General features: G+C 39.3%; 1 protein-coding gene across 14 annotated transcripts in view; it reads right to left on the reverse strand.

Annotated features, from left to right (window-relative positions):
- Window positions 1-25,436, reverse strand: part of CDON (cell adhesion associated, oncogene regulated) — a 106,515-nt gene that overhangs the window by 41,339 nt on the left and 39,740 nt on the right. For 13 of the 14 annotated variants that reach the window (XM_017017873.2, NM_001441166.1, NM_016952.6 and 10 more), the window contains exons 2-11: window positions 25,242-25,378; window positions 23,089-23,361; window positions 21,460-21,606; window positions 20,171-20,314; window positions 18,929-19,216; window positions 17,082-17,351; window positions 12,182-12,535; window positions 7,600-7,898; window positions 5,743-5,917; window positions 3,560-3,691 (exon numbers count right to left, since the gene is read on the reverse strand). In XM_017017873.2, coding sequence (XP_016873362.1) covers window positions 3,560-3,691; window positions 5,743-5,917; window positions 7,600-7,898; window positions 12,182-12,535; window positions 17,082-17,351; window positions 18,929-19,216; window positions 20,171-20,314; window positions 21,460-21,606; window positions 23,089-23,361; window positions 25,242-25,317 — 2,158 coding nt within the window. In that variant the 5' untranslated portion in view covers window positions 25,318-25,378. Of the gene's footprint in view, window positions 1-965; window positions 973-3,559; window positions 3,692-5,742; window positions 5,918-7,599; window positions 7,899-12,181; window positions 12,536-17,081; window positions 17,352-18,928; window positions 19,217-20,170; window positions 20,315-21,459; window positions 21,607-23,088; window positions 23,362-25,241; window positions 25,379-25,436 lie in introns of all 14 variants that reach the window. The other variant, XM_047427065.1, reaches the window with a different exon arrangement.

Consider the following 25,436-nt stretch of genomic DNA (forward strand, 5'->3'; position numbering starts at 1 on the left):
TGCAGGAGGTGAAAACATGAGGAGTAAGCTCATCAGCCATTGAAACCATGTATCTAACTCTTCTTGATGACCAAGTGATATGGCTTGGATACTTATTCCCTCCAAATCTCATGTTGAAAAGTGATCCCCAATGTTGGAGGTGGGGCCTGGTGAGAGGTGTCTGTGTCATGGGGGTGGTTCCCTCATGATGGCCTGGTGCCCTCCCCATGGTAGTAAGCAAGTTCTCGCTCTGTTGATTCACACGAGAGCTGGTGATTTAAAAGCATGTGGCGTCTCTCTTGCTTCCTTTCCCACCATGTGATGTGCCTGCTCTCGCTTCACCTCCCACCATGACTGTAACCTGAGGCCTCACTGGAAGCCAAGTGATGCTGGTGCCATGCCTGCATAGCCTTTAGAACCATGAGCCAAATAAACCTCTTTTCTTTATAAATTACCCAGCCTCACGTATTCCTTTATAGCAACACAAACAGGCTAACACAACAAGCAATCTTGTGGTTGTAACTGGCTTCCCACTTGGTTCCTACAAGGAAAGAATGCTGACAGAAATAATCCGGTCTGTATGACAGTGACATTGCAAATTTGTAATTGCCATTCTGCTTTGCCTTGATCATCTGTGAACTGGATAGACATGAGCCGGTTTTTGAGAGACCAGTGATCTTTTGGCATGCTGACAATCAAGTTTCTAGAGCTGGAATGTGGAGGGCCAACTCTGGGCCATGGTGACGCTAGTTACTTTGAGAAAGCCACTAGGGAGCCCCATCTCTAGCCCATGCCATGCTCCTCAATTGAGCAACACCCTTCCACCTCAACATGTCTTCAACCCACCATACAAATACATACGAAAGAAGAAAATAAAGTTGAATGTGGTATTTGTATGGAGAAAACTGTAGCATTTAAAAAAAATAAATTGCTTAAGGGATAAAAGAGGAATGTATTCAAAGCAGGCAATGCTGAGTGATACTTACTGTATTCCTTTCAAGTTAGAAAGCAATGAAAACAGAATGAATAGTATGGTTAGTGAATCTTTTTTAATACTAGAAAAACCAAACAACTTCCTTATGTTGATTCGTCTGAAATCAAAACTCACCAAACACCACAGTTCAAATAGGAAAAAGAAAGTTATTGGGGAAAATGTCTGCACGGAAAATAATACCTTCCATATCTAAAAGAAATAGCATGTGACTGTTAACAAGGTAGAAAAGAAAGACGGCACTGGAGTTAGAAGCGGACTTGGGTAGCAAGCCGTTTCTCCACTTTCTGGACGATCTGAGGCATCGTGCATGGTTAACCTCCTCATGTGTCAGTTTCCTAATCTGTAAAACAGATGTGGAAATCTGTTCCTCATTAGGTTGTTTTGAATATTAAATAAATCTTTTCTTGTGGTTATTTCTTCTTGGACAACTCCAAACTCATCATTTCCAAAACTGAATCCATAATCTTCACCTAAAAACTCTTACTACTTATCTTGGTAAATGGTCTTCTGGTGCCCACACCCAATCCATCATCTTTCTCCTTCTCATTCAGTGTGGACTCCATTCCCTTAATCTCTCATACAGGTCCTCCCCTTCCTCCATCCACACTGTCACTCCCCTTATTTCTCTAGCCTTTTCTTTTGCTATTCCTCCCTTCTCCTTCTCTAACATCCTTTGGGGTTCACTATAGCTTTCAAGGAAAGATTCAACTTTGAAGCATATCACACAAGGCATTCCCCACAGTAACCAGTCACACTAAATAAAATCTCTAACCTCTCAATCTCTAAACATAATAGAACATATCAGCCACTTGTCGAGATGTCTTTGCTAGAAACTCTTTTGCTGTTTCATCTGTCTGTATCGTCGTTCTCCTTTGAAGTTTAGCTTATGATGCAGAGAAGCCTCTCTTATCTACTCACCCTTGTCTACACTGAGTGACTGACTTAGATATTTCTCGTGAACCCATAACACCAAGGGTATAATCTCGAGCATAAGCAATCAAAATTGTTATCAGTTTGTCTATATTATCCACATATTGTTAATGGGTTTAGGTATTTATATCATCCACTATACTGTAATTTTTTTAAAAAAATAGAAACAGGATCTCACTCTGTCACCCAGGCTGGAGTGCAGTGGAACAATCATAGCTCACTGCAGCCTCAAATTCCTGGGCTCAAGAGATCTGCCTGCCTCAGCCTCCTGAGTAGCTAGGACTACAGGTGTACCCCACCACACATGGCTACTTTTAAAATTTTTTGTAGATACTGGGTCTCACTACGTTGCTCAAGCAGTTCTCAAACTCCTGGACTCAAGCGATCCTCCTGTCTCAGCCTCCCAAAGCACTAGCATTACAGGCGTGAGCCACTGTGCACCACCATGCTAGGCCTATATTGTAAACTTCTTAAAGGCAAGGATTATTTTATCTTTGCTGTTCCAGCATTTTATACAGTATCTGCCAGAGGGTGTATAAAATAAATGGTAAGGTTTTTTTCAGACATTACTTTTATTCACATGAAATTAATACTCATATACGTAATCTGCTTAAGGTAGCTGAAACGTGCCTCAAAGATAAGAGCACTCAAGTAAAAGAGATTCATGATATTGAAGATACAGAGGTGCTTCGGAGGGAGTTCAAAGTGTTATAACCTGCTTTTGTCTGACATCAATTCATGGAAAACTGTAAAAATATGGAAGAGAAGTCTGAAAATTCTCAGAGCTTAGCAATGAAATTTTAAGTCTTCCCTAGATGTCCTGCCTGATGTTTTAGGACAATCACAAAAAGCACACCTGGCTATAAGTGTAGTGCTCATATAAGTGTGAAATTGAAATACTAAAAAAGTCTTTTGAAAATTATACAGCTAAGACCTTTAAAAACCATAAGATTAACTAGATATAGCAAAAAATAAAAATAAAAAGTAACATGTAATCCTTCAGTAAAATAACTTACCACAGGTACCACTATACATTTTGATGAGTCACACACATGAAAAGTGAGATTTTCAGAGTTCAAAATATAAATGTCCTTCTCTTACCAGAGAAGAAACAGAAAACTCCTTCCTTTTTCTTTTTTTTTTTTTTTGAGGTCTCACTCTGTCATCCAGGCTGGAGTGCGGTGGTGTGATCTCAGCTCACTACAACATCTTCCTCTCAGACTCAAGCGATCCTCCCACCTTGGCCTCCTGAGTAGCTGAGACTACAGGTGTGTGCCACCACACCCAGCTAATTTTTTTGAATTTTTAGTAGAGACAGGGTCTCCCCCTCTGTTGCCCAGGCTAGTCTCAAACTCCTAGTCTCAAGTGATCTGCCCACCTCAGCCTCCCACAGTGCCTAGCCACAAAACTCCTTTCTTGAGTTCTAAAAACTTAGTACCAGAACATTTTGAGTCAGAGTTAATGAAGTTAAGTACTAATCATGATACTGAGATGCTAAAGTTTAAATATAGGACATTAAAATTGTTGAAATAGAACCTAAAAGAACTGTATGGTAAGATATGAAAATAAACAAACACCCTATTCCACCCCACCTCCCAAAATCTGAAGCAGGTCAGTTATATTTGTAAAGAAACAATAAAATATTCTTCTTTTTACCTCCACTGTGCCTAGAGGAATCTGTAAGTACCACTCCAAAATTGTTGTTTGCAGCCTCTGAAACAACGGGATACTTAGGGATGCCCACGGGTGGAGAGGATGCCTGGGTGTTTTTTGATGACGCTGTTTTTTCTAGAAAGGTAAATAAACATATACAGTAACATAAGCATATATGTATGTAAAGTGGAAAAAAAAGAGTACTGTGAAACTTACCTGGTATGTGGTTATAAATTTATGAACTTATCAGACACAGCATCTAAATGTAAGACCTACTTCATAAATACTTAGCTGATCTGAGGAACTGACCAAAAATTACTTTGTTTTTTTCTAGTATCTTTAAAATAAAGCTAAAATGTCTTTCTTCATTCTAACTTTACGTATGCAAAAAAATAGGTGAAAAAGCCAAATGACTAAGTGTTCAAACTATTAGTCCATTTTTCTTTTTACTGTATATATTTCTTAATTCTAAGCTATAAAACTCACCATTAAAGAGCTTCTGCTAAGTTTTCTAAGGAAAAGCCTCACATTGTTTTAATATTTCAAGAGGCAAAAAGTGAAATTGATTTGTTAAAAACTGAAATGCATGATTACTCAGTATTTATAGGTCAGACTCCATGAACACCTAATGACTGATTATGAAAATGAACTCAAGATACATTTAAGATAGAAAGTACTCGTTATTTTTCTGGCCAGACTTAGTAATTAGATGAAAGGGTCTTTTTCAAAAGCCACTAGTTGGTTTCTTCTCAATCTTCATACCTCCTTTTCGTTACAGTGCCATACTAAAATACTCTTCCACCCAGTTCCCTTCTCTACCCACTAACGTCTCTTTGTTCATTTACAGCCAAGCCACGATGGCATCTTTTTTATCAAGCCTTCCCTCACAAGCCGCCCTGCAGAAAGAATATCCTTCCTCTGTGCTTCCCCAGCACTGTCCTTGGAAATCTCCTGTGGTACTTGGCATATTCTGGTCTCTTTGCCTACAATCCTGCCCACCTCCACACTATCCAGACTCCAGCCAGCTCAAATGTTCCAGCTCTTCTCAGCTCACTCAGAGGTAAAATCAAAGTCGTCCCAAGGTGGATGGTGTGCTGTGTGATGTGGACACCCCGTTGTTCCCTGGGATCTCTCCCCTACAGCCTCCTCACCCACGTTGCTCCCATCACAGCAGCCCCATCGTGTTCCTAGTGAACACCATGTACACCCAACCTTGGGCCCTGGCACTTGCCATCTCTGCTGGGAATGTTCTTTCTCTAGGGAGACACGTGGCTTTCTACTTCCCCTCCTTCATGTCTCTGCTCCGATGTCGACCGCTCATTGAGGACTTTTCTGGCCACCTGCTTAAACTGTTAACAACTCCTACCCCATATACTTCCTGTATCCACCCCCTAACTTATATCTCTGTTAACACCTTCTAATGTACTTATAACTTACGTGTAAGTCTCTCTCAACTAGAATGTAAGCTCTACAAGGCCACAAGTTTTGTCTGTTTTGCTTCTTGCCTAACATGTAAAAGGCATTCAATAAATATTAGCTGAACTGAATACTGTCTTGTAGTTGGTATTAAGTTACACATCTTAGCTTTCTTATCAAAGTATAAGCTCTGTCGGGATGGATCTCATTTTGACCATCTTCATTTTCCCTATATCATCTATCCTCATTGCCTTGTATAACATAAGCTTTCAAAAACATCTGTGGAATATTCTATAGAATAGGACAATACAATCACGTAAATGTGACCCCAAAATGGAAGGGGGAGGCTATAATAGGGTCGTTTAGTGAATTTACATATAGGAATTTCTACTATCCAAAAGAATTCTGGTTGGGCACAGTGGCTCACGCCTATAATCCCAGCACTTTGGGAGGCTGAGGTGGGCGGATCACGAGGTCAGGAGATCGAGACCATCCTGGCTAACACTGTGAAGCCCCGTCTCTACCAAAAATACAAAAAATTAGCCGGGCATGGTGGCACGCACCTGTAGTCACAGCTACTCGGGAGGCTGAGGCCGGAGAACTGCTTGAACCGGGGAGGCGGAGGTTGCAGTGAGCTGAGATTGTGCTACTGCACTCCAGCCTGCGTGACAGAGCAAGACTCCATCTCAAAAAAAATAAATTAATAATTCTCACTAATAAATTGACATCAGGGCAGCCAGCTCATTCCTCCAAAGGAAGCCCTCACTCACCTTTGCTGGTTCGGAAGGTAAGCATGGCAGGTTGGCCTTCACCTGCTGCGCTTCTTGCTACCATCAAGACTTCATAAAGACTAGATGGCTCCAGCTCAGCTAAATGGAGCTCATTTTCACTTCCTGGGACTCGAACCGTGTGCCAGCTTCCCAGCATGCCAACCCCATCATCCAGCTGCCCAAGAGAAAACACACCAGAAAAGAAAAGCAGGAGATGGAGGATAGGAAATCTTTCGGTCACATTTGATCAAAACTAGGATTCATTTAATTCTAGAAGAGTTTTAAGAAGTAATACAGCATGGTAAGTAAAAAAGACACAATACTTCTTCATATTAAGAAATAGAAGATCTGCTGCAAGAACGCTGCAATTCTCACTGTAGAAAGACTCCTGGCTCTGCATCTGACCACTAATGTGTGGCCTCAAGCAAGTTACTGCCCTCCCAGACTCTGTTTCCTTTACTTGTAATGGAAACAATGCCTTCTTTCTTCCTGGGCTAATGAAGAATAAAATAAGTATAAAATAATAGGTATCATTGGTAATTATATAATACACATAATAGATACATGGTAAATTAAGACAATATTATATTATGTTATATGTATATGAATTATATAATTATGTATATTTCCAGCATTCTTGCTTCATGTCTTGACACTGTTCAATATGTGTTAGAGGAAATAAAAAGATCTAATCAGTTGTTTCTTGATTAATGGAACCAAGAAACAATATTGCATGGAGGTATTAGGGTAGATGAGATTACTAGCAAAACTTCTTTATCTAGAATCATTCATCAGGTTGGAAATAGTACATAAACCTTAAAATATCATCATATTAAAATATCATCATGTTATTTTTCCTAGTCATTAAAAACATTACCATTCAACAATGTATACTAAAATTTCTTGGACAAAGAAAATGATTTTAAATATGGAATGCATCCCTCCCATTTCATTCATGTACTGGTCTCATTAAACAGAGAGGAGCTTTTCCATTCTGCTCCAACACAAGCCCATGGGGAAAATGATATTTGAAGAGTTAACTGAGAGAGGCCCAAGGTTTACCACCAAAAATGACCTAACAATGTATGACTTTAATACAATTAAAAAGGCAACTTGAAGCTGGGCACAGTGGCTCATGCCTGTAATCCCAGCACTTTGGGAGGATTAGGTGGTGGATCACTTGAGGTCAGGAGTTCAAGACCAGTCTGGCTAATATGGCAAAACCCCATCTCTACTAAAAATACAAAAAAATTAGCCAGGTGTGGTAGTGCATGCCTGCAATCCCAGCTACTTGGGAGGCTAAGGCACGAGAACTGCTGGAACCCGGGAGGCAGCAGTTGCAGTGAGACGAGATCACACCACTGCACTGTGGCCTGAGTAACAGAGCAAAACCCTGTCTCAAAAAAAAAAAAAAAAACAAACAAACAAACAAAAAAAAACTTGAAATGCAAACAATTGGCATAAATTATGCCAGAAACTCTGTTCAAACAGTTGTTTTTAATAAGAAACTGCTTTATTTGCTACATAAATGGTATTCTACTACCTTAGAGAGGGAAGGAATTTGTGTTTTAAAAGTGGTTATAGAGCTTTATGTTGAAGGGCTAAAACATTTGAATACACATGTAAAGACATCATTGGGTTCCTAGAATTCCAATTTGGGGGGAAATTATACTTCATTCTCAGTGCTTTCCTAGGATTGGTAAATCCAGCATGACTGGGATCTCTCTGACAAACTCATCAGTCTGGAAGACTCTTGTTCTGTTTCCTGCCATTCTACAAATGAAAAGGCAACAGTATATGTTATACAAAGAACGTTCAGGTGTGAGCCGAGAAAGATGATAAACGACAAGACATTACCTTTCGATACTTCACAAAGTAAGCATTGATGGGCAGCCCACCATCCTTGCCTGCCCTCCACACCAGGTTGTACGTGTCTGGTGTGTGGGTCTGTGGGGGGCTCAGTATGATGGGGGCATCAGGAACAGAGATGCCGCTGGCGTTTTTCTCTGGTGCTGATTCCACTGCACTGGGATGGACCTTCACCGGAAATGAGCTCAGTAACCCAGTTTCTGAACCATCTCTCTTACTTCTGTCATCATTCTGAGCAGCATCAGGAAGTGTGACTGTCTCTGCTTTTGTATTTGTTTCAAAAGGAACTGCAGGGAGAGAGAGAGGAGACAGCTTGAAGATACTCCTCATTTCATTGTCTTCTACCCAGTTTGTGACGTGACTGCCCTCACTTGTATTGTTAGCACAATTTGAGCCCCAGAAGTTAAAACGGGTAACACTGCCATTTATAATTCATGGAAATGTTTAACCTCTAATTGCAATCTTTTCTCATGGTGGAGCAAATGAATTACTTGAAAAACCAATTATATGATGCAATAGTGTAGCAGTTAAACGTTCTTATTTTTTCCTTGTTCTCTAAGAGTATTCTTTTTAGTAATAATCATTTGCCAGTTTAACCTCAGAAGATTTCAAGTTGGCCAGGCATGGTGGCTGACACCTGTAATCCCAGAACTTTGGGAGGCCGAGGCAGGGGAATCACTTGAGCCCAGCAGTTCAAGACCAGCCTGGGCAACATGGTGAAACCCCATCTCTACAAAAAACACCAAAATTACCCAGGCGTGGTGGCGCATACCTGTAGTCCCAGCTACTTGGGAGGCTGAGGTGGGAGGATCACCTGAGCCTGGGAAGGTTGAGGCTGCAGTGAGCCATGATCGTGCCACTGCACTCCAGCCTGGGCAACAGGCCAGCTAACTTCTACCCAAGGGGATCCTGCAACTACACCTCTCAAAAAAATTTAAAAAGATAAAACAAGCAGGCAGCCTTAACACTTACTACTAACAGCATACAGAATATACAGAGGAAGATAAAAATAATTTCTTTGCACTGAAAAAAAAAATAGGTTGCATACAGTCAAAGATAATTACTGAGCACATATTATGTGCCAAGCATTGTACTATCTTATAAACATAATCTCATTTAATTCTCCAAACATTCTTAGGTAGATGGTAATACTCCCATGTTACAGTTGAAGAAATTAAGGTTCAGAGAGACTAAGTGAAGGCTGCCAGAAGAATGTTCATGGTGCTGCTGTGAAAAAAAAAATAATAAGAAAGAACAATTTATGAAAACAAATATACTGCCAGCACAATAAAACCTAAGGAGTGACGGCTTGGTTTCTCTAAAGTGCTATTAATACTGGCAACAGAAAATTCTATTTTTCACTCCTTTTGTGGAGGAAGAGTGCAGAGCAAACAACGTACTACTTTTATGTCCAAAATGAAGTCAGATTCCTGGTAAAAGATGGGTGTGTTTTTGGGAGAAGGGCTGCACTGCAGTAGAGAACCAACAGAAAACAGGACTGACAGTGTAAGGTTAGTTCTCTGTTAGTTTAAAAGAGAGAAAGGGTGTCCCAGAAGCATCCTCCATCAGAGAAAACAAGAAGCTAGTGAGGAAATAATGTAGAAGAAAACTAATTAAGTTCACTGAGACAACTTCAAAATATTGCTCCTGGAACAGCAGTGTTTATCTAGTGAGTCAGACTGCGGACTGATGTTCAGGGTGTGATCTGGTGCCTGCTAATGCAGACAGAAGGACTCGGCAAGTGGAGATAATTAACTGTGGCTTGAGGTAGTGGAGAAGGACCTTTTTATCATTAGAAGTTTAGTGGATCCTCCGGGCAGTTTTCCACTGGGAAGTGGGATCTGGCTGTAAAAGAGTTTAAATGCCACATGCCTCATACAGAAGCATGAGAAAAACGTTAATGCTGCAGCTTCTCCACTGTCTGAGTATCAAAATTCCATTTCTGTAAGACTTAAGATGCAATGAGACCTCTCCAGAACTTTTATTAAAAGGGGGATTCAATTAACTTTCTTCTTCTGTTTCAATGATATAATCTGGGCACTTGGGAGATACACTCAATACAACTGAAAAGACCTTACCAGTACTTCCCCGGTGTTTTTGCATGTATTATCTCAACTTATCTTCAGAACTCTATGAAATGGGTAGAACAGGCATCTAGCATCTTTTAAGGTAGAATGTTTTTTGAATCGGAAAAGAGATTGATGCAACTACGGCAATGTAAATAAATTTAATGACTCTAAGTGGAAACTAATTAAACAGGGAGGGAGTACAACCATATCTGTCAAAGATGCTCCCACTGTGACCACTGCTGCCAGCAACTCACAACCCAAACTATTTAGGAAACCCGCACCAACTCTCATTATAGTTTTAAAGAGTACCACACACTCTACAAATATTTGTACATCCAGGACCTCAAAAACCCAAAGTCTCTGGAAAAAACAAAAGGCTGGGGAGAGAGTTATCTCTCTCTCTAACCTAGCTTGCTCTCCCCTTTACAGTACAGTAGTCAAATGACTTGTCAGGATGCTAGAATTTCATAAGGCTCAGATTCCTATGCAAAGAAGTGAGTTGTCATGTATTGTTTTGAGTTTTAATAAACTCGGTTGGATCTTAATAATTATACTAGAAAATTAAAAAAAGACAACGTAGGACCTCTTTGGTAGAATACAGCTGATGGGGTTACCATACATAAAAGTAGTATTTATCGAGACATAAAATCCTGGAGCACAGGGGAATCTTAAAGATCTTCTAAAGTTAGTTCACATAACTTCAAAGGGCTTCCGATTTCTCATATTTAAGGTGAGGAAGTTCGACAAAATATCTAGTTTCATCAGCCATAAAACTATGACATCTGTCTCTCTACACCCTGTATTCACATAATCGCTTCAGCTAAATTCTACCCAAGGAGCTCCTGCAACTACACCTGTCATGCAGTTAACAATTTCGAGCAGAGCCACTCTTATTTTTGCCTAGAGGAATAGAAATATAAACACACACGCACATTCATTTATAGGTGCAAATTTATGTAACACTGAACTACTTTCTTCATTTAAGGATTCTTAATGTTTCTAAAATCAGTAACTATTTCTTCCTTCCCTTAACACTGCCACAAGAGATCACTGTAATTTAATAATAATTAGACAGTAACAATCATAACTTTATACTTAGTATCAATGGAGGGCTTTCTATTGCCAGACACCATTCTAAGCACTTACTACGCATTAACTCCTTGGATTCTCACATCAACCCTATGAGTGGGGCACCTTCACTATACCTGTTACACAGATGAGGAAACAGAACAGAGAAGTGCAGTGATTTGCCCTTGGGTTACAAAGCTGCTAAGTGGCAGAGCCAGGATTCTGACACAGCCCACGTGCTCAGCCTCCACATCTCTCCCACCTCTAACATGCACAAGAGGATAAGGGGAAGTCCCTGGTCTCCACCACTTCTCCTCCGCCTCCAGCTTCATTCAGAGCAAGGGCGTCCTTGTTTGCACGTGAAGGGAAATCGTATGTGCACATACGAACTCTTTTTTATTTCAACCATCACTCCTCTGCCAAGGACCCCCCGTTGACCACTGCTCTGGCTAAGGGTGCCCACACACTGGTCGTGTGGTCCAGACTGTGGCGGATGGGCCAGGGGAGAGGAACTGTGGGGACCAGACTGTGAACTCACTGAAGCAGGAAATGCTGGAGCCCCAGACCTGTCTAGAAGGAGGAATGTGGGCTCTGAGCTCAGCATAAGCACTGCTCCTCGACCCTATGGGCTCTTTAACCTGTGGGACCATGGCCCCAGGCAGAAGAGAGCCACGCTAAGCCCCTTAAAGCAGAGGCCAGGGTCAGAGACCTCAGTTACCCAAAACTAAAGGCAGTACTGCCTTTGATGTTGGGCCTCTCACAAGACAAATAAGATGACAATCTACACCCAACTGACTAGCTGTTGGGGAAAGCTGCCCTAAATGCCTACTGATGGAAGGTCTGAATTTGAATTAAGTCAAGTTTGAGTCCATTTCCATGAATATTAATAGTCTATATACCAGTACATCAAAAATCATATATAGTTTTTAAGTCATCATCACAAAAAATCAGTAAAATATGAAGAATTAATATTATACATCCCATTAGAAAATAACTTTGGATAAGACACAGGGAATATATACATACAGGTATTACTTAATAGTACCACAACTCTACATTCTCAATGAAGGCCAGTCCTTTAGACCCAATACTGTAGTTATCAAGGGCATAAAAAATGTCTGCAATATCATTTTCGGTAGCTTAGAAAACCAAAAGCATTCATCTCAAAGACAGGTTATATTCTGGGCCTGCTCCCAAATGAGAGCTTTCTGTATTGCACCTACAATCTTAACAAACACATCAGAAACAGAGACCAAAATTCATGTGATTCACATAAAGTGAAATACCAAGAAATACAGTTCTACATTTCACTGTCATCAGGAAAAAATATAGAGAGATTGCTGGATTCATTAAAATAACATATTTCAAATCACTTTATCTTCTATTATAAAAGGAAATTACTCAACTAAAAATAAATAATAATGGCAACTCACCAACCATGAGAGATGCTTCTGCCTGTGTGGTACCATGTTCATTTGCAGCTTCGCAGATGTATTTCCCCGCATGTTCCTGAGTCACAGCCTGAATATGGAGAGAGCTTGCACCAGCTTGGGACAGGACGAAGTACACAGGCTCCAGGTTCAAGCCCTCAGGTCTTGATAACTGTGATTTTCGGGATTTCGATCTCAGGACTTGAGATGGATGGCTGGTTATCAATCCATGGCTGTCATACCAACGAATGACCGGAACCGGCAGCCCACTGGCATTGCAGGACAGAGTAACAAAGTCTCCGTCTGCAACCTTTGCACTTACTGGTGCCGTAATTATAACTGGCTTGAATCCACCGTCTATTAAAAAAGTAATTCACATATGAAAAATGAAGAACATTGTAGTACCTACGATGCAAAACAACTTCATCCTATCACGTAAATGTGGGAGTAATGATTAAAACCAAGATAGCTACCTCCTTATTAGTTCCCTTCTCAACTTTCACCAAGTAAGACTGTCAATAAATGGTAGAGTTGTTTCATAGCTGTGGGCTCCTAAACATTTCCTACGTAAATTTCCTGTCCTTCAGAAAGAAAGGAATATATATAAAGAAATCTTTTGAGAGTTTTCTGAAGGTACACTACACATATCTGACCACTGCAAATATAGAACATATAAGGTTGAAACCTCAGACCTTAACAGGAAAAATGTGTAAATAAGTATAAAAGTAGATAATTTTCCTTCAAGAAAATGGTCAATTTTGTGGGGTAGGGTGGGAAGGGAGGCAGGAATCTGATTATAAAAAGCGTGGGAGAAAAAAACCTGTTCTCAATAAAAGCTGATACTGATGATACCTGTATGTTTTTTCCCATAGGCATGAACAGAATTTTTGTTTCTAAATTAAAGTGGCACCAAATCTTTCCTTTTGGTCCTGGTATTCTCTGGAGGTATTTTGAAGAGAGCTTACAATGGAATATTGATCAAAGTAAATGACATTTTCTCTAGCATGTCTGTCTTTTTCTCCAGTCCTCCTTCCCATGTCTGACAAAACCAACCAACAACTGATACCGGATTTCTGGATTTTTGCCAAGCTACTGAGTGTAAAATGCTATCTCACTGGTCAGAACATGCATTTTCCTGAGGACTAATGAGGCTGAACATCTTTGCATGTGATTATGCGACATTATTAATTTTCCTCCTCTGTGAAATGCCTTTGTCAGTTTTTCTATTGGGTCATGAATCTTTTCTGCAGTGATTCGGAGTTCTCTGTATATACTAGATTCTGTTCTTTTGTTTAGGTATGCATGTGACTAGTATCTCCTTCCTAATGTACTGCTTTTCTTTTCAGCTTTTAACAGTATCTATTAGGAAGATGTTTTCATTTCAATGTGGTCATCCTTTAAAATGAGCCTTTTAAAATGTCTTATTAAAAAGTTTTACCCACAGATCATACATTCTTCAATGTTTTCTTGAAAACCTTTTTCATCTCGTCTTTCATATTTAGATCTTTAATCCACTGAGAATGTATCTTTTATACAATGTGAGTAAGACCCTGAGTTTCACTTTTACCTCCATGCTGATAACAATTATCCCACATCAAAATGCGAAATGGGTCTCCTCCCTGCTGATCTGCAATGCCGGCTCAGTCAAGCCCTTACATGCAAATGTCTTTCTGAAAGTCTCTATCTTGTTCCAAGAGTCTATCTGTTTCTGTACCAATATAATATTTTCTTAATTACTACAGATATTTTAGATGTTTAAGGCAAGTCTCCCATGTTCTTTTTCTCCTTCGAGTGTCTTTGCCATTCTTGGGCATTGGGTTATGCATATAAATTTTAGAATCAGTTTGTCAAGGTCCTTAAAATATTATGATGGGATTTTAATTTGAATTGCATAAATCCACAGAAAATTTTTAGACCAGATAACTATATAATACTGAATACAATATATAATATTGAGGAACTGATATCTCTTCCTATATAACTGGCTGTGCTTTACTGCTGTGATATAAAAAAGGTGGTTTTTAAATTATACTTTCTGTTTGTTGCTGGTATGCAGAAAGGCAACTGATTTTTTTTTTTTAAGAGACATAATCTCGCTCTGTCGCCCAGGCCGGAGTGCAGTAGTGCGATCTCAGCTCACTGCAACCTCCACCTCCCGGGTTCTAGAAATTCTCCTGCCTCAGCCTCCTGAGTAGCTGGGACTACAGGTTCACGCTGCCATGCCTGGCTTTTTTTTTTTTTTTTGTATTTTAGTAGAGACGGGGTTTCACTGTGTTGCCCAGGCTGGCCTCGAACTCCTGAGCTCAGGCAATCCACCCACCTCCACCTCCCAAAGTGCTAGGATTACAGGCGTGAGCCACCGCACCTGGCCAAGGCAACTGATTTTTGTTCATTGGTCTTCATCCATCCACCTTGCTAAATATTATTATTTATCATAATAGGTTATAATAGGACATACAACAGCCATCATAATGGCCAGCAAACTATTTGGGATAGCCCATGTTGACAATCATATCCAGCTGTAAATTAACAATGATCTGGGTTCTTTCCTTCTTTTTCATGTCTTTCTGTGCTGGTTAGGATTTCCAGTATAATGATGGCCAGAAGAGATTTTCAAAGGGAGTGCTTCTTATATTTCACCATTAAATGCAATGTTTCCTGTAAGTCCTTGTTAGACACTCCTTATTAAGAAAGTTCAACTCTATTTCTACTTTTCTAAGTGTCTAACATGGATACTTAATTACGTCCAATGTTTTTCCATCTCTAGTGAGATAATCATACTGTTTTTCTCCTTTATTCAATAAATAGGGTGAATGACACTCTACATTTTCAAGTGGATTCCTGGGATAACTGTTCAGAAATGACGTATTTTCTTTTTTACACTGTCCTGGCTTGCTGATATATTATTTAGGATATTTACACCTATGTTCATAAATGAGATTGGGCTTTGATTTTCCTTTCTTGCACCATCTTATTGTGGTTCTGGAATCAAGACTGGAGAGTTTCCATCTTTTCCTCTTCTCTGGAACACTTTGTACAATATCTGAAATGGTCTATCACTTCGAAGTTTGGTAGAACCTCCATAAAATCATCTGGCCCCTTATTTTCTTTGTGAGATTTTTAACTCCTAATTCAACTTCTTTCATAGGTGTAGGACTATTCAAGCTTATTTCTTTTCAGTCAGCATTGCTAAGTTACATTTTTTCCTCAGAATTTGTCCATTTCTGTCTTTATTATAATTTTTTGTCACAAAATTTAGCTTAATCTTATTATCTTTAATTGCTGTAAGACTTGTATTTATAGCCCTCTTTTGTTCCTAATATTATTTGTACCTTCTTTCTTTTCTTTGGATCATTTTCCCCAAAGATGTGTCCATTTTCTTAGACTTTACAAAGGGCCAACCTCTATCTTTATTGATCCTCTGTATTTTATCTTTGTTTTCTATTTAATTGATTTCTGCCCTTATTTTTATGATCTTTTTTTCTTTCTTTGAATCTATTCTGTTATCCTTTTACTTCACTCAGTAGTTTTTAGTCTTACTAATTTTCTTTTACAGCCACAGAAGGCTATAAATTTCCTTTTAAATTCCATTTGACTGTCTCTTACAAAACTGATCTGTAGCATTTTCATTATCATCCAGTTCAAAGTATTTTAAATTTCCATTATGATTTCTTTTTTTGATCCAACTATTGAGAAGTATAATTTTAAATGTCCAAATACATGCCAATTTTTAAAAATTGTTTTCATTATTAACTTCTAAATAACTTACACTAATGTCAGAACATTTGGTCCATATTATATTGATTTTCTGAAATTTAAAATATTTATAACTCATATCATAAACAATTGATTTCCCTAACAGATAAAGAACTCTTATAAATCAAGAAGAAAAAAGACCAACGACCTAATTTTTTCAATGAGCGAAAGACAAAGAACAGTCAATACACAGAAATGCAAATTTAAAGGGCTCAAAAACATGAAAAGAGGCCCAACTTTACTTGTAATAAAAGAAATATAGATTAAATGGTTCTCTTTTTTACCTATCAGATTGGCAAAGACTTTAAAAATTGACAATGCCCCATGTTGGTGAGGGTTTGAGGAAACAAGGAGAGTTAAGTATTGCTGGTGGGAGTGTACACTGATAACGACTATGGAGAGTGATTCAGTAATCTCTACCAAAATTACCAACACAGATATGGTTTTATTCTGCAAGTTCATTTCTAGGAATTTCTTTTACAAATACTCACACAGGCGCAAAATAATCTTTGTAGAAGGGCATTCATTATAGAACTATTTGTAATAGCAAAAGATTAAAAACAACCATCAATAAGGTACTAGTCAAATTGTTACAACTACACAATGGACCACTAAGCAGCAACTTTTTAAAAAGGAATGAAAATACTTTTTATGTACCATATGAGAAGATATCCCAAGATGTTAAGTAAAAAATTTATGGTAAAGAATGCTACCACTATTTAGGTAAAAAAAACAAAAAAAGGTATTGTTATAAAATGCACACACACTCTCTCATGTTGTGTGAAACCACTCATATGTGCACTACATACAAGGCTGCTCAAGAAACTGATAAAACTAATTATTTCTAAAGAGAGGAACTGACTGTCTAGGGAATAAGAGTAAGAGAGAGATTGTACCATATAGATTTTTAAAGTAGGCAGAATCTGTTGAAAATTTTTTAAAAACTTTTTTTAATGAGCTTGATTAATAAGATTACTTCTTCATGGAAATGCCTACCTGTCACTAGCCAGGACCATGGAAAATGAACACCGTTCTTGTACGGTGCTAGGGTTATTTTCTTTTAGTAAAAATAATTTCATTTTTGACCACAACAAAAGCCCATCTGTAAAATAAAAGTTCTTATGACTGGCACGACCTAAAAGCCTACCATTTTCAATTTCAAGTCTTCCAGTAGAGTGCATAAATCCAATCCCATTATCTGCTACACACTGATACATCCCAACATCTTCCACAGTAACCCCACTGATTTTCAGTCCGTTTCCTGCAGTTAGATGTCGTGCAGAAGGATGAATAGGCTGTGCATTGTGAAACCAGGTACAGTTGGGGGCTGGGTTCCCATGAACGTCGCAGGTAAAGTGTACTGTGGCACCCAGAGACACTATCTGATCCTGTAGTCCTTTAGAAATGGAAGCATGTTCTGAAAATAAAACACACAAATTAAACTCTAGCCCTCAAAATGTACTTCTTAAATTATCACTCGAGTGATAAAAATCTTCTCTCTACCAATAACCAGTTGAAACAAAGTTGCATTGTTTATTCACATTCTTCTGTCTGCTGTGGTAATCAAGAAAAAAATTAGAAATGTTCCACTAATAGGATAAACCATATGTTGCTAATAAGATATAGTCTCCTTTCATAGATTACACCACCCACTTAACTCCCCACAACATACGCGAATACACACATATATACAAATAGTTTCTAATCCTGGGCTTCTCTTAGCATTTATTTCAGGTGATTAGCTTGAAATACAGTAACAATTTCCCTGGATTTCACACTAAACAGAAGCCAAAACAGAAGAACGTTTTACTCAGAGGTTAAATTATGTTTACGGTCAATTCAACTTTGAGGTTAGATGTATAATGGTGAAAATAAAAGAACAAAACTTCCTTTAGGGATCCTTAAAGTCACTTATTACCCACAAGTGTATCATTTATCAGAATTTGTAGCCTCAGTCTAAATTATGCATATTAATCCAGTCCTAATCACTGAATTCCAAAGCCCACTTGTCATACACTTATGTTAATTCCAGTGTTGCTAACCTATAGCAGGCCATGGTTATAAATATTATAAATACATGCAAAGAGTTTACAAAAGTTTTATTCACTATGAAACCACTTTCCACCTAATTTTTTCATGAAAATCTGTTTCAATAAAGGAAAACATTTTCTGCAGCTACACATGATAGTGAGGTAGGTAGCTGGTTAGAAACAAAGGAATAGCTTTGAAATAAAGTATACATAGAAATGTGGGTGGAAATAATTCAATTTTATCACCCAGGCATTGGTAAGAGCACCCAAAAAAAGAAAATTAAATTAAATAGATTGATTTCTTTTTGAGATGACATTTTCTTTTTTGAGACAGGGTCTGGCTCTGTCGCCCAGACTGGAGTGCGGTGGCGTGATCTCAGCTCACTGCAACCTCCACCTCCCGGGTTCAAACCACCCTCCCACCTCAGCCTCCCAAGTAGCTGGGATTACAAGCCTGTGCCACCACACCCAGCTAATTTTTGTATTTTTGGTAGAGATGGGGTTTCGCCATATTGCCCAAGATAGTGTTGGACTCCTGGGCTCAAGTATTCTGCCCTCCTCAGCCTCCCAAAGTGTGAGTTACCATGCCTGGCCTGACATTTTCTCATCAGTACTCTGTCTTAGTTACTATTACTGGATACTACACACAGATATAGGCTAGATTCTTCCATTCTCCTGATTTCCAGTTTTTTCCTCCATGTTATGAAGAAGGGAGAATAATTTCTATATTGTACAACGAGGTTGGGGGTGAGGTTCCGAAGAATATTCCATGCGAAATGCTCTATGCCACCCAGAAAAATGGCCTAATTCAGCAGTCCATTATAAAAATGAAACTTGTTCTGGCTAGGGTATAGATAGTTCTAGATACTCCCTATTTCAATTTCACAAATAGATCTTTCCTTCAGGTATCAGTTAGACCAGAAAAATGGCTTCATTTGAAAAAAATTAAAAACTAACATCTTACCAAGTACATTAACCATGTAAGTCACATATTTTACATCTCCAGACTTGTTTCCCGCCATGCAGGAATAGTTTCCGGAGTCCGCCGGGTCAACGCTATCAGTGGCAAGATGAGAATACAACCTTCTCCAGTTGCTTCCTGGTGCAATGTCCTGCCCGTCCTTTAGCCAATACACTTGAGGAGCCGGGACCCCACTCACCACACACTCCAAGGTTACAGGGCTACGAGAAAGAACAGCTAATGCCTGTGAATGGGTGGGGTGAAGAATGTGAACATCATCTGAAGAAGGACCTGGAAAAGGAAAGGAGATGAGAGATTATTAGTAAGTCTTCGATTCTAATCTCTTGCTTAGCAAACCTGTGGGCATCACCATTTTCCCATGTATTCTTTATACTACAAGGTCCTATTTGGTGGTTAAATCCTTTTTAGTTGAGGATTAAAAGATTTTTGTGGTCCTTTAGGGCTACTTCTGAATTGGCAGTTTGGAAATGCAGAATTCCCAACAAGTTCAGAAGCCACGCCTCTGCTATGCTCTATTGGTGCTACCTCAACTCAACCGCCATAACCTAAAAATCAACAGTGATTTTCATTACATCTGAAAGAAAGAGGACAGACATATCTCTTTTTTTTTTTTTTCAAAATTCACAGACATCAATTTAATGACCACTACTATAAAGCTGTATCTCCTCTATTTCTTCTTGTTTGAACAAAGGGCAAAATTCTCCACATGTATTCACTCTGTCACCTTGGCCAAAATTCCCTTCTGTAAGTTACATTTTTAAAGCATGTACAGAACTCTTCTATAATGCATTCATGTATTTACTTTTTTTTTTAAGACAGAGTCACATTCTGTCACCCAGGCTGGAGTGCAGTGGCGCAATCTCAGCTCACTGCAACCTCTGCCTCCCACGTTCAAGCGATTCTACTGCCTCAGCCTCTCAAGTAGCTGGGACTACAGGCATGTGCTGCCACACCCAGCTAATTTTTGTATTTTTATTAGAGACAGGGTTTCACCCTGTTGGTCAGGCTGGTCTCAAACTCCTGACCTCAGGTGATCCACCTGCCTCAGCCTCCCAAAGTGCTGAGATCACAGGGGTGACCCACCACACCTAGCCTGTATTTACTTTTTTGGTAAGACTTTTTATGATAAACAAACAGGATTTGAAAAAAAAATGAACTATCATTGCCCAACTTTTTATGAGGACTCTTCCTCTTCCAGTTACCATTATTCTCCCAAATACTTACGACTCACAAGGAGCTTTCGGCCAATAGGTTCAACTTTTAATTGATGTGTGACAGGATTATAAGCTGCACATTTGTATGATCCCTTGTCCTCTAAGGATACATTCAAAATCTGAAGATTTCCTGATGGAAGGATTAAGTAATTCTCTGAGGAAGGAAGGGAGTGCAGTTAGGCCTCTCCCTTTATGAAGGACACCACAGCACAACTAAAACTCACAAAGGCTGATCATTATGCTCTATTCCATCTTATTTTATTTTAGAGATGGGGGTCTCATTCTGTCACCCAGGCTGTAGTACAGTGGCATAAGCATGGCTCGCTACAGCCTGGAACTCCTGGACTCAAGCGGTCCTCCCACCTAAGCCTCCCAAGTAGCTGGGACTACAGGTGCATGCCACCACACCCAGTTAATTTTTAAATTTTTTGTAGAGATGGGGGTCTCACTATATTGCCCAGGCTAGTCTTGAACTCCTGGCTTCAAGTGATCTTCCTGCCTCAACTTCCCAAAGTGCTGGGATTATAGGCGTGAGCCACCGGCCAGCCTGCGTTACATTTAGACATGAGATTAGCGGTAAAGAAGCAATCAAGGAAAATTTCTTAAATGAAGGAAAGGGAAAGTCAAGGCAGAATAGAAAAAAAAGTCTACAGAACTAGCATAGCAAACCAAACCCAGCAGAAGCATGTTAACGGTAGTGAATCTCAAAGCACAAGAAACATGCTTTGACTTTGGCAAACCTCTAGCTACAGCACTGGTCACATGGTGTTCCTGCACTGTCTAGTCATTCATTTTTTTTCCACAAATACATATTAAGGGGCTACTTTCTGCCAACAATGGCCAGGCACAAGTGCTACGGCAAGGAAAAGAGCAGACAAAAACCCTGCATGCATGCAGCCGGCATTCCAGTAGGGGTATGTGGGGAGGTCAGAGGAAAAGACAAACAATAATAAACTAACAGAAATATGAATAACACAGTATCAGGTGTGATCAATTCTATAAAGAAAAGCAAAACGAAATAAAGGGGCCAGAGAGCACCAGGCATATTATTTTAGATAGGACCATGAGGGCTATCTTTTCCAAGGAAGTGAAATCTGATGGGGGTCTGAAGGAACTGAGGGAGTGAGGCCTCAGGGTATGGGGCCGTAATTATTTGTATATTGTAACCATTTGTTTTAGTCCTCTCCACTCATGCCTTCTTGTATCCACAGTTCGTCCCTAGCACACAGAGCTTAGAAGTAGCTTATTTAATGAGCATTTGTTCTGTGTGTGCCACCGGCTTTTCACAAAAGGTCTCACCTGTGGAATGTTCCAGCCATTTTCCCCGGATTTTATAGCGCACCTCAGCTTTGGGGTTACTCTCCGGTACCCTGCAGCCAATGAAACCAGCACTTTTTTCTTCTGCTGTAATAACATGCTTTGTGGATGAACCAAAATCACCAAGAACTGAAATATATAAGGAAACAGATAAATAAATACATGCAAATTTGAATTCTTTTTCCCAAAGGAAATTTACAAATTAGAAACAACATCTGCAGCACGGCCTTTTGTGGCAGCTGACCCCAGTCCAGAGGGCTGCATGATCTTTTCATCTCAGAAAGCAGCTGGGGCAAGCTACTCAGGAGGCTGAGGTGGGAGGATCGCTTGAGCCCAGGAGGTTCAGGCTGTGATGAGCCAAGCAGTGGAGAGCCACTGCACTCCAGCCTGGGTAACAGAGTGAGACCCTGTCTCAAGAGAAAAAAAAAGAAAAAAAAGAAAAGAAAGCAGCTGGGGCACATGTGCATGGTTGAGGGCTAAGACCGAAGTCACGGCACCCTTTTTCATAAGTCAATGCTTCTAGGGAATAAATATAAACTGCTCCTAAGACATCTAGAACCATAAAGCATAATTATTCCCATTCAGTCAAGATAAATCCTTTTCAATCCAGTGCCCCATCAAAACTCACTTTCCCTACGGATCTTTAATCTGTTTGTAGCTATTCACATTGCAATAAAATGATTTCTGGAATGAACCTAGGACATCAAAAAAATAAGGAAGGATATCATTATTTAGATTATCTGAATCTACTAACTTGGTCTCAATTCCTCTCAGTCTCAGTTCACTACGGACGGAGCCTGCAGGGGACTCTTTATTATCTCCAGGGCTCAAAGCACTCAGCAGCCTGCCACGAGGAATTCAGCCCTCCAGTGTGTGTCTTACAGCTGTCCATGGGTCACAGCTCTACAAAAACATTTACTCTTCTCAGTTATGACAAACTCACTACTCCTGGGGAATCCAGATTTGTTCTGTAAATAGGGGTGCCCTTACAAAGACGTTTTCCATTACTGGAAGCCATCACCGTTTGAAACGCAGATGGCTCCAACTTACTAAGAAAAACCACGCATTCCAGATTTTCCGTAAGTTCAATACTCAACATTCCTTTCTTTACAGTTACTTTTTTCCTGCTTTTTAACCATGGCTTCAATTAAATATATTAAAATCACTCAGTAATCAAGGCAAATAAAACAATTAGATGTGAAAGAAAGACAAAGGACTCCAGGAAATAACTGTCAGAGTAGACAACAGCTTTTGTTGTTAATGATATCATGGATTTCCAAGCACTCACAAAGAAATTGTTCAGAATTCACATTTAAAAAGTGTCCTTCCCTGGCAAAGCTGCAGAGATTATAAAGAAAAAAAAAAAACTGTCCTAACTGCGTAACTTTAAAAAAATCATTTCCATATCATTGTTACTGATGAGGGCATGAGGCCAGGCTCACAGAGGTCTAAGTGCACTTCCACAATATACTCACAGCAAGAGTCAAGGCTGAGATAAAAACTCCTATATGCTTTACACCAAAGCCCATGGTCTTTCCCCTCTTCAGAAATATAAGCACTAACAGTAATTTCAAGAAAACCCATACCTAACAGGGACAAAATTAAACTCACCTGCCACAGATACTGTCGCAGGGCCACTCACAATGGCACCGATGCTATTGTTGGCAAGGCACTGGTAGTAACCCAAAAGAGAGGAGTTGAGAGAAAGAATTGTCAGAGTCCCCTGATGAATCTTAACATGTTCCAGGTTTCCATCCAATGTTTTTCCGTTATGCAGCCATGAGATACGAGTGGTCACAGGTTGAGCAGAACAATGCAGTACTACAGGTCCACCAAGTTTCTGGACAGCAGAGAGCGGCTCAGAAGTAAAATAAGGTGCCAAGTCTACAAGGGAATATTCCCCATATGCAAAGAAAGCAGGGGAGAAAAGAGGAGAGAGAAAGAAGATTACATTAAACACATTTCATCTGTATCTTTATAACTAAAGGCAATCTTTTATTTTATATATGTTATGGTTCTTGATGCTTGTAAAAGTTCTAGCAAAATTCTTATAAGCCTATTTGTTGGAAGTAAAAAAGAGCAACATGTTAGCCTAGGACTTAACAATTAGGGTACAAAAGACAAGAATGCTGATGATATAAATCAGATACAATATCAATCCTATTAATAAGAAATAGCAAAGTGCAGCTGGGCCCTGGGGCCCCCGCCTATAATACCAGCACTTTGGGAGGCCAAGGCGGGTGAATCCTTGAGCTCAGGAGATCAAGACCAACCTGGGCAACATGGCAAAACCCTATCTCAATAAAAAATACAAAAATTAGCCAATGTGGTGGTGTACACCTGTAGTTCTTACTACTCCAGAGGCTGAGGTGGGAGGATTGCTTGAGCCCAGGAGGTGGAGGCTGCAGTGAGCCATGACTGCACCACTGCACTCCAGCCTGGGTGACAGTGGGAGACCCTGCTTCAAAAAAAAAAAAAAAAAAAAAAAAGAAAGAAGGAAATGGCAAACAGCTCTTTTAATAAAGTGACTTGGAAGAACTGGAAGTTAAGAACCTGAAAAAGTGAAGATGACTTTCCAAATAAAAAGAATTCTCCCCTATTTTACCAACAGGATTTGATTTACGAGAGCAAGTTTTTCTACAAATGAGGGCTGTGGTACTTCCTTACTACTTCCCTTCAGTATAAAACAATGTTTAAGTTTTAAGAAAACAGAAATAGAAAGCTAGGAAGCCACAATTGAAATACAAAGGCTATCCTTTCTTAAACATAGGGCTTCGTATTTTTATTTGGGATTTGAAATGGTTTCGTCTGTTATTTCTATTACTCCAGGAACATGGGAAGGCGAGGGTGTTCTTGCACTGAAGTATCCATGCAGATCCTTCTGTTCCAACCCGAGAGTGGGAAGGGGGAAGAAATAGTTGTTAATTTTCTAGAATAAAATACTTAAGAGAAAAAAAATCAATAAATTGCTGAATCTACTTCTATAGAATATTTAATCAGAAATGAAGTTAAGGGGAAGTATCTCTTTTGGCTGAATCTGGGGTGGTTGTTTAGCAAAACAAAAGTAAAACCACAAAACCAATTTTCCCCTTATTAAATTTAATACAGCTATATAGTACTTTTAGCAGATATTAAAAATAAATAGTACTCAATGAATAAACATCACTGTATTTGTATCTACTTATATATTCATCTTTACCCAAGTCTAAAATAAAAAGAAATGCACGTGAACCATGTCTTAGGCATGGGGCTTACATACACATTTAACAACAAACACATTTATGCTTTTCAGTAACCCAAAGAGGTAGACAATAAATTAGGCAAGCTCATAAGAGAAAGTGGCAGACCTGGGATTTGAACCAAGTTCTCTCACTCCCAGTTGAACACAGTATCATGCTGATTCTAAAACTTCTCTTTGGTATATTTAGTCCGCATTTTATTCCTGTTCTTTCCAAGTTCAGAAATTAGTGACATATCCCCTTATTTAAAAAAAGCATGATTGGAAAATATGTATTTTTTTTTAAAAAATGAAAGGGATAAATTATAAGGGCCAGGACAGGAAGGCCTGCTAATGCCCAAAGCACTACCAAGAGATCCTTAAATTGCTTAATTTATCGAGTTTTTAAATCATGTAGTTGGTCAAACCAATCTTAGAAACATCTTTAGATAGCACCATTATCACAAAGCATTGAAGTACAAATTTATGTTTTATAGGATTAAGATGAGTAAAGGCCAAACCACCCCCTCCCCAATTCTACTCTTACCTGAACTCACAGAAGAGCACAGAATTGTAAGAGTAACATACAGCAGTGTACATAAGGGTCCAAGATCCGGATGCATAGCGCCAGATTACAGAAGCAATCAGGACAGGCTTCCAGAGCAAAACCCAGTCCTTGGTTCACTAAAAAAGAAAAAGGAAAGAAAATCTAAACCATTGAAATCTTTCGTCTGAGCAGCTG

The sequence above is a fragment of the Homo sapiens genome, chromosome 11 (genome assembly GCF_000001405.40).
Source record: "Homo sapiens chromosome 11, GRCh38.p14 Primary Assembly".
Taxonomy (NCBI): Eukaryota; Metazoa; Chordata; class Mammalia; order Primates; family Hominidae; genus Homo; species Homo sapiens.